The sequence below is a fragment of the Homo sapiens genome, chromosome 5 (genome assembly GCF_000001405.40).
Source record: "Homo sapiens chromosome 5, GRCh38.p14 Primary Assembly".
NCBI lineage: Eukaryota > Metazoa > Chordata > Mammalia > Primates > Hominidae > Homo > Homo sapiens.
The window spans coordinates 134,901,638-134,914,387 of record NC_000005.10 but is presented as its reverse complement, the minus strand read 5'-3'; the positions used below and the strand labels follow the sequence as shown (position 1 = coordinate 134,914,387).

At 48.7% G+C, this 12,750-nt stretch overlaps 1 protein-coding gene across 1 annotated transcript in view, besides 4 other annotated features; it reads right to left on the bottom strand.

The window, feature by feature from the left end:
* Nucleotides 1-9,257, bottom strand: part of PCBD2 (pterin-4 alpha-carbinolamine dehydratase 2) — a 57,514-nt gene extending 48,257 nt beyond the window's left edge. The window contains exons 1-2 of the mRNA NM_032151.5: nucleotides 9,165-9,257; nucleotides 3,922-4,053 (exon numbers count right to left, since the gene is read on the bottom strand). Of these exons, the coding sequence (NP_115527.3) occupies nucleotides 3,922-4,053; nucleotides 9,165-9,248 (216 nt within the window). The 5' untranslated portion in view covers nucleotides 9,249-9,257. The remainder of the gene's footprint in view (nucleotides 1-3,921; nucleotides 4,054-9,164) is intronic.
* Nucleotides 8,174-8,759: an enhancer, noted in NCBI's record as "H3K27ac-H3K4me1 hESC enhancer chr5:134241319-134241904 (GRCh37/hg19 assembly coordinates)". NCBI's record gives its function as "activates a minimal SCP1, AML or CMV promoter by ChIP-STARR-seq in primed H9 embryonic stem cells {active_cell/tissue: H9 hESC(primed)}" and the evidence as "EXISTENCE:reporter gene assay evidence [ECO:0000049][PMID:30033119]".
* Nucleotides 8,760-9,344: an enhancer, noted in NCBI's record as "H3K27ac hESC enhancer chr5:134240734-134241318 (GRCh37/hg19 assembly coordinates)". NCBI's record gives its function as "activates a minimal SCP1, AML or CMV promoter by ChIP-STARR-seq in naive and primed H9 embryonic stem cells {active_cell/tissue: H9 hESC(naive and primed)}" and the evidence as "EXISTENCE:reporter gene assay evidence [ECO:0000049][PMID:30033119]".
* Nucleotides 8,760-9,701: a biological region, named in NCBI's record as "H3K27ac hESC enhancer GRCh37_chr5:134240734-134241318".
* Nucleotides 8,942-9,701: a silencer, noted in NCBI's record as "silent region_16371". NCBI's record gives its function as "represses an Ori minimal core promoter by ATAC-STARR-seq in GM12878 lymphoblastoid cells {active_cell/tissue: GM12878}" and the evidence as "EXISTENCE:reporter gene assay evidence [ECO:0000049][PMID:35858748]".

Sequence of the window (12,750 nt, the reverse complement as noted above, 5' to 3'; positions counted from 1 at the left end):
TAGCAACCAGCCACGTTTCTCAAGTTTTTTCACTATCTTAGTCTCCAAAATGACTATTCCACTCCTTCTCTTATCTCCCCAGGTCTCCAACACTCTTCCCTTCCACCCCTACTTGCTCTCAATTGATGATCTCACTAAAAAACAAAAGCAATCAGGAGAGAATGGCCCTCTTTTTCCCAGGATGAATGTAACGGCCTATTGGCATCTAAACCACAATGGACATATCATCGCTGTGCCTCCACTGCCCATCTGATCCTGTCCTCTCCTGCCTAACTGGACCATGCTCTCACAGTGATCCCCTCTGACAACTCACAAACTGCTGTCTCAGCCTGAACTCCAGCCTCTTACACCCACCTCCTAACCCAATAACTCCATTTGGATGACTAATAAGTACCTCAAACCTGACATGTGAAAACAGGATTCTCACCTCCATACCCCTGCCCCCCACCTTGCACCCCATCTTCCACAGCTCAGTAAATGGCTCCAGTGGCACTACCCTTTACACTATAGCTTGAACCAAAACCTTGGTGCCATCCTTGACCCTCCCCTATCACACATCCAATCATTCAGCAAGTCTTGATTATTCTACTTTCAAAATATGTGGAACCCTACATTTCTCTCCATCCCCACTGATACCTCCATAAGACCCCCATCATCCCCGGTCTAGACATCTGCAACAGTGTTCTACAGAGTCTGCCTGCTTCCACTCTGACCTTCCTACCGCCTATTCTGAGCAGAACAGCCAGGGTGATTTTTTAGAACACAGCCACAGGATGACACTTCTCTGCCTGAAATCCTCCATTAGCTTTCCTTCACAGAATAAAATCCAAACTCCTCACCACGCCAAGAAGGCCCCCATGCTCTGACCCTTCCCCTCGTCTCCTCGCCTGCTCCACTCCACACTGGCCTTCTGCTTCTGGCTCAATCATGCCAAGGTCATTCTGCTTTGGAAACTCTGTGCTTGCTGTTCTCCAGCTGGAAAGCTCTTCCCTTGGATCACCATGTGCTGAGCTCCTTCACATTATTCAGGCCTCAGAGATCCCCTCCCCAGAGAGGACTTTCCAGACCACTCTACCTCCAAGAGTGCCTCTGTCCCCCTCCACTCCAATTCCCTACTTTATTCTTCAGGGTACTCATCACTAGCTGAAATTATATTTCCTATTCATCTGTTTATTGTTTATTTTCCCACTGGGATGGGAGCTGTATGAGCTTAGAGTAGCACCTAGCACACAGAAAATGCTTAATAAATCTTTGTTGAATTAATAAATATTTCATGATAAAATTTAAAAAATTTTTTTAAATGTAACCACATGTATAACTGGCATGCTCTGGCATACTTGGCAAACAAACATACCCATGGAGAAAGACCAGAAGAGAACAGAGAAAAATAAAAGTAGTTGCGATTGGAAATTTTTTTTACTTACACCATCCTATTTTAATGTTATGCTGTTGTTACAATAAAAAACAATGGCTTTTCTGTCCTAAATGAAAGATGAATGAGGACCCATCAGCGCCAGAGGGTCACTACTCTACTCACGAGTTGTGAGCAAGAGAAAACCAACTCCTGACACCTGGGCGCTGGCCTGGTACTATCAACCAGTCCTTGGTGCTCTCCTTTCGAACATCAACATCAACACCAGACAAGGCCACTCTGTGACCATGATGGATGAAGACAAAAACAAGACCACTCTGCAATACCTGAACACAGACAAAACATGAACATTGTCCAAGCCACAAAATACCAAACATCCTCCTCTCCCAGCTAATGAGTGACTATTGCTTCTTCTTCAGTTTCAGCTTTGGCACTGCTTTAATCTACTCTCCCTATAGATACGATTTATTAAAATACCAAATGACAGAGTTGCCCATTTCCTGACAGCATCTAATCCAGAGTAAAGTCCCCAAATCACTACCACAGCCCAAATCCTATATGGGCTCACCCCACGGTGCCCTTTGGTGTGCACTCTCCCTCACAGCAATAAGCAATAAGCTCAACTTGTTCGACTGTAGGTGTGTTCCTAGTTGTGTTTCGCTGGAGGGCACTGACAACTGTCAGGACACCAGTTACCATTACAGGCCATGGTACACGCAGAAGTCATAGGAGCCTAGTGGGAAAACTGACCCCCGGATATAATCTCAGTGTTGGTTCTCTGAATACATTCCCTGACATCAGCTGATTTTCTTGTCATCTGCCTCTTTTTCCTAAAAGTTGGGTGAATGGGAAAAAAAAAGTCTACTTAATTAAATGCCCCAGTGAATAATGTTACAATCAATCCAGTATGCTTCCCTACCATTGCTGAAAGTCACCCTGAGCGCAAGGTCAGAATGGTGCTGGAGGACTGAATCATAGGCAGGGCCTGAGGCAACACCATTCGAGTACTTTAAGCCACATGTTCAAGCCCAATAAATTAGGCCAGGTTTAAAGAAGTCAAGCTGTACATATGTAAGAATTTTAATAAGCTTGGAAAATGCTACCTAGAGCTTATGCACAGGCTTACTGTACCAATGGGATTCCCTGCCACCAGCCACAGCGTGCTAAGCCCCTAACAAGAGCTGTTGAGCACGTGGGGCAGCGGGGACAGGGAGTCTGCTTGGTCCAGGTTTCCTTAGGAGTTGGAGACTCACAGCAGAGGCTGGCAGCCAGATGGATAGAGAACAGAATCGGGCATGCAGCTCAGTGGAGCCAATGACATTTACTAGGAAAACATGCCGAAGGTTTCTTTGGTGCAAATCTGGTCCTCACACACCCTTCTAGAAACTAGCAAACACTGTAATCAATGTCTGCATTTATCAAATGCCTGTTTGTACCCAGAACTGTGTTGGGTACAATAGAGAGTTATTTAAGCAAACATGGTCTCTGACTTCTAGATGCCGACACCCAATATAAATAAAAACAATAAATCTGTCCAAAGGATTACCAAACTAACTGAACAAACAAAATAGTCAAAAGCATTTACCTTTTACAAATGCAGTGGTGTAATAACTGAAGGTTAAGTCATGGGAGATGACTCTCTAAACAGGGTGGGTCCCTAATGGAACAGTTACCTTGTTAAAGCTGACTTCCAAGGGGGAGGTCAGGTTTTAAGAAAAGGTTCAGGATCTGGCTACTGGGCTGGAGAAAAATAAGCCAGTCAGGGAAAAGGGTGCAGCCTGGGAGATGACTGAGAGATAGAAATTTAACTGCAGGAAGAAAGAAAAATTACCAACGGCCCAGAAAAAGTCAGGGAAAATAAGTCAAGCAGGTACATCTTCCTCAACCAGTTTTATTCATGCCCCTTTCTGATAAGTATAAAAAGCTCAGGCTGGGCACAGTGGCTCATATCTCTATTCCCAGCACATTGGGAGGCCAAGGCAGGAGGATCGCTTGAGGCCAGGAATTTGAGACCAGTCTGGGCAACATAGCCAGACCCTGCCTCTCCAAACAATGCAAAAATTAGCTGGGCATGGCACATGCCTGTAGTCCCAGCTACTCAGGAGGCTAAGGTGGGAGGATCACCTGAGCCCAGGAGGTCGAGGCAGCAGTAAGCCACAATCATACCACTGTACTCCAGCCTGGGCAACAGAGCAAGACCCTGTCTCAAAAAATAATAATCAATAATAAAAGGCTTACACTCTCTTTTAATGTTATTTGAAATTTCAAAAGAAACTACATATCCTAACCAACACCATACCAAAGCAATAGTGGTTTCAGAATTTGTTTTCCAAGTAACACAAACCACCCTCTTCCCCCAGAGCTAAACACCACCCAGGTGGGTGGTAGCAACTGTCAACAAGGATGTCACTCTATCACTGAATTCTTAAAGAAGGGAAGAGTTGAATCCTAGATCTACATGGGACCAGACAACTGGCAGAATCAGAAAGTGTTATGGCCTAAGGTGACTAAAATAGACCACAGCCCTAGCAAGAATTTATAACAATTACCTGATTAAAATTGTGGAAGGAGAATTCTTTGTAGATGGCATCTCTCTCACTTAATTCCGACCATCCTGCTGCTTTAAGGTCAAGTATAGCTTGGTTCCTCTCCTCTGCAGTCAACCTGTGAGTACCTGATGACTATGAAGAGAACACATTTCATATCTGAAAATGTACAAGTTTACTCAAACTCAAACTTATGGCTCCTTACCTTAAGCAGAGATGTAGAAAAGTCTGAAAGGCAACAAATTCTAACCATCTTTCATTCCTTTGTTCTCTTAAAGAGACCAAAGCAAGGCTAGCTCTGTGCAAAATAAGCTGCCTCCATGGCATGTCACCTCTGGCTCCCTTACTGCTGCCTCAAACTTCACAATTCAGCTTCTCTGGTTGGTTGGTTGGTTGTTTCGAGACAGGGTCTCGCTCTGTCGCCCAGGCTGGAGCGTAGTGGTGCAATCACAGCTCACTGCAACCTCCGCCTCCTGGGCTCAAATGATCCTCCCACCTCAGCCTCCCAAGTAGCTGGGACTACAGGTGCACACCACCACACCCAACTAATTTTTTGTATTTTTGGTAGAGAGGGATTTTCACCATGTTGCTCAGGCTGGCCTTGAATTCCTGAGCTCAAGTGATCTGCCCACCTGGACCTCCCAAAGTGCTGGAATTACAGGCATGAGTGACTGCGCCCGGCCCTTCTGTGGTTTATTACAGATACAACAAAGATTGACTATTACCACCGGCCATCTTGGACACTGCAGAATTCTAGGACTTGTGGCAAGTCTATTGGCAGGACCAGAATTAAAATTCAAGGCTCCAAACTCCTGGTCTATTGCTCTTTGGATGGCCCTACATCACCTCAGTAGCCTTCACTACTCTCTGTTATATCTCTAATAAGCCAGAGAAGCTGAACTGTGACGTTTGAGGCAGCAGTAAGGGGGCCAGAGGGAACATACCATAGAGACAGCTTATTTTGTACAGAGCCAGCCTTGTTTTGGTCTGTCTTTTGAGAACAAAGGAATGAAAGATGGTTTTAACTATTTGGAATTACCATCTCCTGTCACATCTAATGAAAACCAATCCCCGGATGGGGAAAAACAAATGCACATTTACATAGGATTTTATCTAACTTCTGGGGGTCCACAGATCCTCTGGACTACAGGTAAAAAGCCCTGGCCTCAGTGGGGTGGGTTTATGAAGCCCTCTTCTCAGAGCACCAGTCAGACAAACTCTCTCCATAGTTTGGCCAGAGTACTGCCCAGTCCAAAGCACTTGTGTGCACTGTCTGGCCTGTTTCTACGCATCCTGGGGATGACATTCACAAAGCCAGGTTCTGTTGGTTAACAGGCCCACACTTCCCATGCTATTGGTTTTTTAACTGAAATAACTTTAAACATCAGGGCCAGAGAGAAGATATGGACACTTGACTAGAAGTCAGGAAAGCAGGGTTCTCATTCCAGGCAATACTTCTTGCCTTACCTACTTGCAGAGTTACTGTAGGCTCAGGTGAGAGAGAGGCTGTCACCCAGAAAGATGAACATTAGTGAAGGCTCCTCATCAAAGGGCAACTGTGGGCTAAGCTGCATTCCCTGGATTCTCTGCCATTAAGCTGCAACTCACTCCCACTTCAGAAATCCCAAAATCATTTATCACTAATATTAAGAGAGGAAAAAGATTTTACCTTTAGACAACTTTTTCTATGAAGAAAAAAATACTAATAAATCAGTTTTCTAGTTTTTCTTCTTTGCTAGGTCGGCTATTCTTCCCCACAACTAACAAAAGGAAAGAATGAGAGTACCTTTTTTTTTTTTTTTTTTGAGACCAAGTCTTGCTCTGTCACCCAGGCTGGAGTGCAGTGGTGTGATCTCAGCTCACTGCAACCTCTGCCTCCCAGGTTCAAGCGACTCTTCTGCCTCAGCCTCCTGAGTAGCTGTGATTACAGGTGCATGCCACCACGCCCAGCTAACATTTTGTATTTTTAGTAGAGACAGGGTTTCACATGTTGGCTAGGCTAGTTGCAAACTCCTGACCTCGAGGGATCCGCCCACCTTAGCCTCCCAAAGTGCTGGGATTACAGGCGTGAGCCACTGTGCCCAGCAGAGAATACTTTTTAATTAAACAAAAATATGCAAAAGCTTGTTGTTAAAAACCACTTACTAGATTAGTTGGGCATGGTGGCACACGCCTGTAATCCCAGCCATCCAGCCTGGGCAACAGAGTGAAACTCTGTCTCAAAAAAAAAAAAAAAAACATTTACTAGGGCTGGGCACAGTGGCTCACATCTGTAATCCTGGCACTTTGGGAAGCTGAGGTGGGAGGATCATTTTAGGCCAGGAGTTGAAGACTAGCCTGGGCAACGCAATGAGACCTCGTCTCTACAAAAAAATTTTAAAAAATAGCCGGGTGTGGTGGACCATGTCCATAGTCTCAGCTACTTGGGAGGCTGAGGTGGGAGGATCACTTGAGACCAGATGACTGAGGCTGCAGTGAGCTATGATCACCACTGCATTCCAGCCTGGGCAACAGAGTGAGACCCTGTCTCTTAAAAAAAAAAAAAAAAGTCCGGGCGTGGTGGCTCACACCTGTAATCCCAGCACTTTGGGAGGCCGAGGTGGGTGGATCACGAGGGCAGGAGTTCAAGACCAGCCTGGCCAAGATGGTGAAACCCCATCTCTACTAAAAATACAAAAAATTAGCTGGGCGTGGTGGCAGGCGCCTGTAGTCCCTGCTACTCAGGAGGCTGAGGAAGGAGAATCATTTGAACCCGGATGATAGAGGTTGCAGTGAGCCGAGATCGTGCCACTGCACTCCAGCCTGGGCAACAGAGTGAAACTCCGACTCAATTAAAAAAAAAAAATCAAAAGAGATTCATTCATCAGTTTTCCAGTGACAGTTCTGAAAAACTTACACATACATCTATCATAAGAAATCTAAAATTCTTGGCCAGGCGTGGTGGCTCATGCCTGTAATCCCAGCACTTTGGGAGGCCGAGGCGAGCAGATCACAAGGTCAGGAGTTCGAGGCCAGCCTGGCCAAGATGGTGAAACCCGTCTCTACTAAAAATACAAAAATTAGCCAAGCGTGGTGGCACGCGCCTATAGTCTCAGCTACTCAGGAGGCTGAGGCAGGAGAATCGCTTGAACCCAGGAGGCAAAGTTGCAGTGCGCCAAGACCGCACCACTGCACTCCAGTCTGGGCAACAGAGCGAGACTCCGTCTCAAAAAAAAAGAAAGAATTCTGAAATTCTTATTAAACACTTATTTTGTCAACTCAGAGAATTTTGGAAAAGAAACAGAATTATGTGTGTCCACACTGAGTAGCTGCAAAGAAAACCATTAAACATGCTGCCTGTAATAAGGCAGGAACCTGGAGTCTGTAGAACACACTGAGCTGTTTTCTCTGAGTGCTGGACCATCCACATCCCCGCTAAGATCAGTGGTATGCACTTTATGCCCACAACAGACACCTGCCCAGCAGCAGGGACCACACCCAGGACTGGGAAATGGAGCCACTTCATCTACATAACATCAAAGGCCCCCATGAGGGCACATTCACAGCAGAACCCTTGGTGGTGGGCTTAATTTTTTCAGGGGATGGGGGGTAGGCTAGGATTTGAAGAGAGTAAACTAGATCTAAGGCCTAACTTTGTTACTTTTAGCTGTGGGATACTAAACTCCGCTTTTCTGAATTCCGGGATCCTTCTGTCTGTAGTGGGGATATTATAATATCTACCTGCCAAGATTTTTTGAAAGGCTTAGATTACAGATCTTGAATGTGAGGGTACCTAGCATTGAGCCTGGCATGGGGCAGCGCTCAAATCATGTCTGTTGACTCATTCCTTCCCAGAACACCCTAATCTTACTGGATCACTAGCACCTGGGGCAGAGTACGCCTGAAGACACGCCTAGGTGACAGTAGGCACTCAACTTGTGTTCTCCCCTTCGTGGACAAGAAGCGGCGGAGTGCCTATCTTCCTCCGTCTTCGAGCTATTTTAAATTTCTTCTATTACAGCACTTTGGGAGGCCGAGGAGGGTGGATGACGAGGTCAGGAGATCGAGACCATCCTGGCTAACACGGTGAAACCCCGCCTCTACTAAAAATACAAAAAAATTAGCCGGGCGTGGCGACGGGCGCCTGTTGTCCCAGCTACTCGGGAGGCTGAGGCAGGAAAATGGCGTGAACCCGGGAGGCGGAGCTTGCAATACGCCGAGATCGCGCCACTGCACTCCAGCCTGGGTGACGGCGTGATTCTCCTTCTCAAAAAAAAAAAAAAAAAAAAAAAAAAATTCTTCTATTAAAGAATTTCAGGCCAGGCGCAGTGGCTCGCGCCTGTAATCCCAGCACTTTGGGAGGCCGAGGCAGGTAGATCACCTGAGGTCAGGAGTTCGAGACTAGCCTGGCCAACATGGCGAAAACCCCTCTCTACTAAAAATATAAAAAATTACCTGGGCGAAATGGCACGCGCCTGTAATCGCAGCTACTCGGGAGGGTGAGGCAGGAGAATAGCGTGAACCCAGGAGATGGAGGTTGCAGTGAGCCGAGATCGCGCCACTCCACTCCGGGCTCGGCGATACAGCGAGACTCCGTGTCGAAAAAACAAAACAAAACAAAACATTTCAAACTGAAATGGGCGGTTAAAATGCAACTTAAAATGAGATGGTGAGTTTAACGCACCACTTTTCCACTAGGTGGTGCTGCATGTTAAAACTTTCCCTCCATTTACTCCAAAATATTAATTTCTACAGCAGGAAAACTGACGGCCCCTTGGAAAAGGAAAGAAAAGTCAATATGTCACCAAAAAAGACAATTTATTAATAACTCCTCCAAAACCTCTGTGGGTTCCCCTTGGAGTGAAGCGCGAGCAGGGAGCCGCCATAGGGAGCCAGGCCCGCAGCGCCGTTCGTCCTCAGCACAACGAGCGGCAGCGGGCACCGAATTGTTCTGCAACTACTTTTCACATCTGCCTTTTGTAGTTGCTGAACAAAATTCGTTCCCATTTGTTTCCGGTTGGCAAGTTCGTAGGCTTCGGCGGAAGTGTAAAGTCAAGGGCAAGTGGCGGAGGCTGCGGCCACCCCGGTCTCTGAGCGGCGCACCGGACAGGTGGTCAGTCCCGGGACGCGGTGACCCGACGCCCGAGCTCCAAGGCTCGGCCCACGCCGGGTTCGCCCCAGTCCCGCTGGTCCCTCAGCCGACGCCGCCGGGCCTCGCACCGCCCCCCGACCCCGGACCCCCACCCACGCGGCCGCTGTGCACTCACCATGGCCGCTAGCCCTAGGCTCTGGCCTCGCAGCGCCGCCAACAAGCGCCGCGTCGCCCCGAGCGCCCCGAGCACCGCCGCCATTGGCCGTCTGCCGAGGGCTGCCCCGCGCGCTGCCTGCCGGCCGCCCACAGCCGCCCCCGACCCGACCACGCCCAGCTACCGCCAGCCCTGGTAGTCTCCCTGCGGGGCTGGCCCGGAGCGGGGTCTGTGTGTGGGAAGCGCCCAGCCTTCCCGCGGGCACAGGCGCAGCCCGGACCCCGAACACCCCCAGGAGCTTCAGCGGTCGCCAGCGCCCTTGGCCGCCAGGTGGACTCTGCGCGCCCCACAGCCGTAGGCCCAGCAGGCGCGCGCGGTCCCCGCCCCGTGCGGGCCCGTCGCGTCTGTGCCCGGGACGCAGGTCGCCCGGCGCGCGCTGGCCTTGCCCTCCGGTCCTCGCTGCGCTAGGAGGAACTTCGCCCAGCCTCGGGCGCCGGCCTCCTCCGCTTCGCGGGCGCTAGCACCGAGCTGGGCTCCCCGCTTGGCGGCGCTGCGCGCAGTCCATGCGGGCAGGAGGATGTCGTAGGCCAGGGCGGGGCAGTTGAGCGGCGGGGCTGGGGCAGTGAACCACGGCAGTTCCCATCGGGGGCTCCTAAGTCTTGCAGTAGTGGGTTCGAACGCAGCCTCTGTTCAGTCATCACGCAGCTGCCAAGTTCTTGAGCCAGCTGGCTCGTCTGGGTTTGCCTGGACCAAAAAGTGTGGAAACCCGGCCTGTAATCCCCTCCCAAACGTGTCCGTGCCCTGTTTACCCCCAGGCTCAGCACACAGTAGGAGCTCTGCAGACAGCTGTGAACAGATTTAGGTGAATCTTTTCTTGTATCATTTTTGGGGAGGTATTCTTTCATTCTTTTTTTTTTTTTTTTTTTGACTTTTTTGAGATGTAATTGACATACTATTAAGAATACTCACTTGTATCTTTTTTTTTTTTTTTTTTTTTTGAGACGGAGTCTCGCTCTGTCGCCCAGGCTGGAGTGCAGTGGCGCGATCTCGGCTCACTGCAAGCTCCGCCTCCCGGGTTCACGCCATTCTCCTGCCTTAGTCTCCCGAGTAGCTGGGACTACAGTCACCCGCCACCACGCCCGGCTAATTTTGTTTTTGTATGTTTAGTAGAGACGGGGTTTCACAGTGTTAGCCAGGATGGCCTCAATCTCCTGACCTCGTGATCCGCCCGCCTCGGCCTCCTAAAGTGCTGGGATTACAGGCGTGAGCCACCGCGCCCGGCCTCTTTTTTGTTTGTTTTTAACTGAATAGTTTAAGCAGGCCAGGCATGGTGGCCCGCACCTGTAATCACAGCACTTTGGGAGGACAAGGCAGGAGGATCACTTGAGGCCAGATGTTCGAGATCTGCCTGGGCAACATGGCAAAACCCCATCTCTATTAAAAATACAAAAATTAGCCACGCGTGGTGGCACGTGCTGGTAGTTCCAGCTATCCGTGAGGCTGAGATGGGAGGATGGCTTGAGCCCGGGAGGCTGCAGTGAGCTGAAATCACGCCACTGCATTCCATCGACAGCAAAATACCCTTTCCCTCACCCCCCTCAAAAATAAAAAAAAAAGTTTATGCAAATTAATAAGCAGTTTTGCAGAGGATATGGCAAAATATTTTTTTTAAGAACAAGAGTCCATTTAACTTCAACTTAGCAGTTATTAGCAGTCCATCCATATGGACCTAGAAAAAATAAAGCATTTTGCCTCAAAGTAGCCCAAAATTCACGGGCTTCTGTTCTTCCCATTTGCCCACTTGACAAAATGTAACCATTTCGCCGGGTGCAGCGGCTCATACCTGTAGTCCCAGCACTTTGGGAGGGTGAGGCGGGTGGATCAATTGAGGCCAGGAGTTCGAGACCAGCCTGGCCAAAATGGTGAAACCCCGTCTCTACTAAAAATACAAAAATCAGCTGGGCATGGTGGTGCGTGCCTGTAATCCCAGCTACTGAGGAAACTGAGGCAGGAGAATAGCTTGAACCCGGGAGGCGGAGGGTGCAGTGAGCTGAGATTGCACCACTGCACTCCAGCCTGGCAACAGAGCAAGACTCTGTCAAAAAAAAAAAAGATGTAACCATTTCAAAAGCAAAACTCGGGAGGAATCACACTGGGGGCCCTTATCAAATGTTGCTGGTCCTAAAGAATTAAAAGTTATATTTCCAACATTTACATTGACTGTTTATGATCATGAAAACTACTACTCAGATTCGCTCATTAAAGTAAGAACTAAAAAATGAACCAGTGGATGTGAGTAAACAAGTGAACCTTCATTATTTTCAGTAAATTTAATCATTTTCCTTCCTTAATACCACTGTATGAAACTGGCATCTGGGATATAGTCACTGGCCAGGCAAAGTGGCTCACGCCTGTGATCCCAGCACTTTGGGAGGCTGAGGCGGATAGATCACTTGAGCCCAGAAGTTTGAAACTAGGCTGGGCAACATGGTGAAACCCTGTTGCTACAAAAAAGTACAAAAATTAGTCGCGCATGGTGGCGCATGCCTGTAGTCCCAGCTACTGAGGAAACTGAGGCAGGAGAATCTCTTGAACCTGGGAGGCAGAGGTCAAGATCGGGCCACTGCACTTGCACTCCAGCCTGGGTGACAAGAGTGAAACTCCACCTCAAAAAAATAAAATAAATTTGATCATGCAGATCTAGTCAAAAAAGCAGCGAACGGCAGATGCTAGGGCCCAGGGAAATGATGACATCAGTGGATCACATCACAGGGGCTGTGAATTGTCTGCCCACACATGTAGCTCCCCAATTAATAGGATTTAAGTCCCTTAGCAAAGATTTACTGGCCACATGCTCTGTAGTGGAACCATGCTTAGCTTGGGCTGTTCAGCTGGTCTTTGATCACTTCCTTCCCCTTTTCACTTTCCCTCAACACTACTGGTGTTTTTGTTTTGTTTTTCTGATTTTGGGGGTTTGAGACATGATCTCGCTCTGTCACCCCGGCTGCAGTGCAGTGACACAATCACGACTCACTGAAGCAGTCCTCCCACTACAGCCTCCCAAAGTGCTAGGATTCCAGCCATGAGCCCCCGCACCTGGCAGCACCAGTGTTTTGAGGCTGATCCTCTCTATACTTGAACCTCCTCTCCAGGGAATGGCTCTGCTCCACATTTCCCTCCAGGGGAACCCCATGTAGCTGGGCCATGGTGCAAAGGCAGGGCAGGGTGCCATCCCACATAAAGGTTTTGGAGTAAATTTAAAGCCTGGTTCCAGCCACTGGAAGCTGCATGAAGGAAAGCAAGTTATTGAGAGCCTCAGGTTTTTTCTTTTGCTTTGAGACAGGGTCTCACTCTGATTGCCTAAGCTGGAGCGCAGTGGCATGATTACAGAGCTCACTGCAGCCTCGACCTCCTGGGCTCAGGTGATTCTCCCACCTCAGCACCCCGAGTAGCTGGGACTACCAGGACGCACCACCACACCCAGCTAATTTTTTGTACTTTTAGTAAAGACAGGGTTTCGCCATGTTAACCAGCCTGGTCTCGAACTCCTGAGACTCAAGCAATCCACCTGCCTCAGCTTCCCAAAGTCCTGGGATTACAGGCGTGA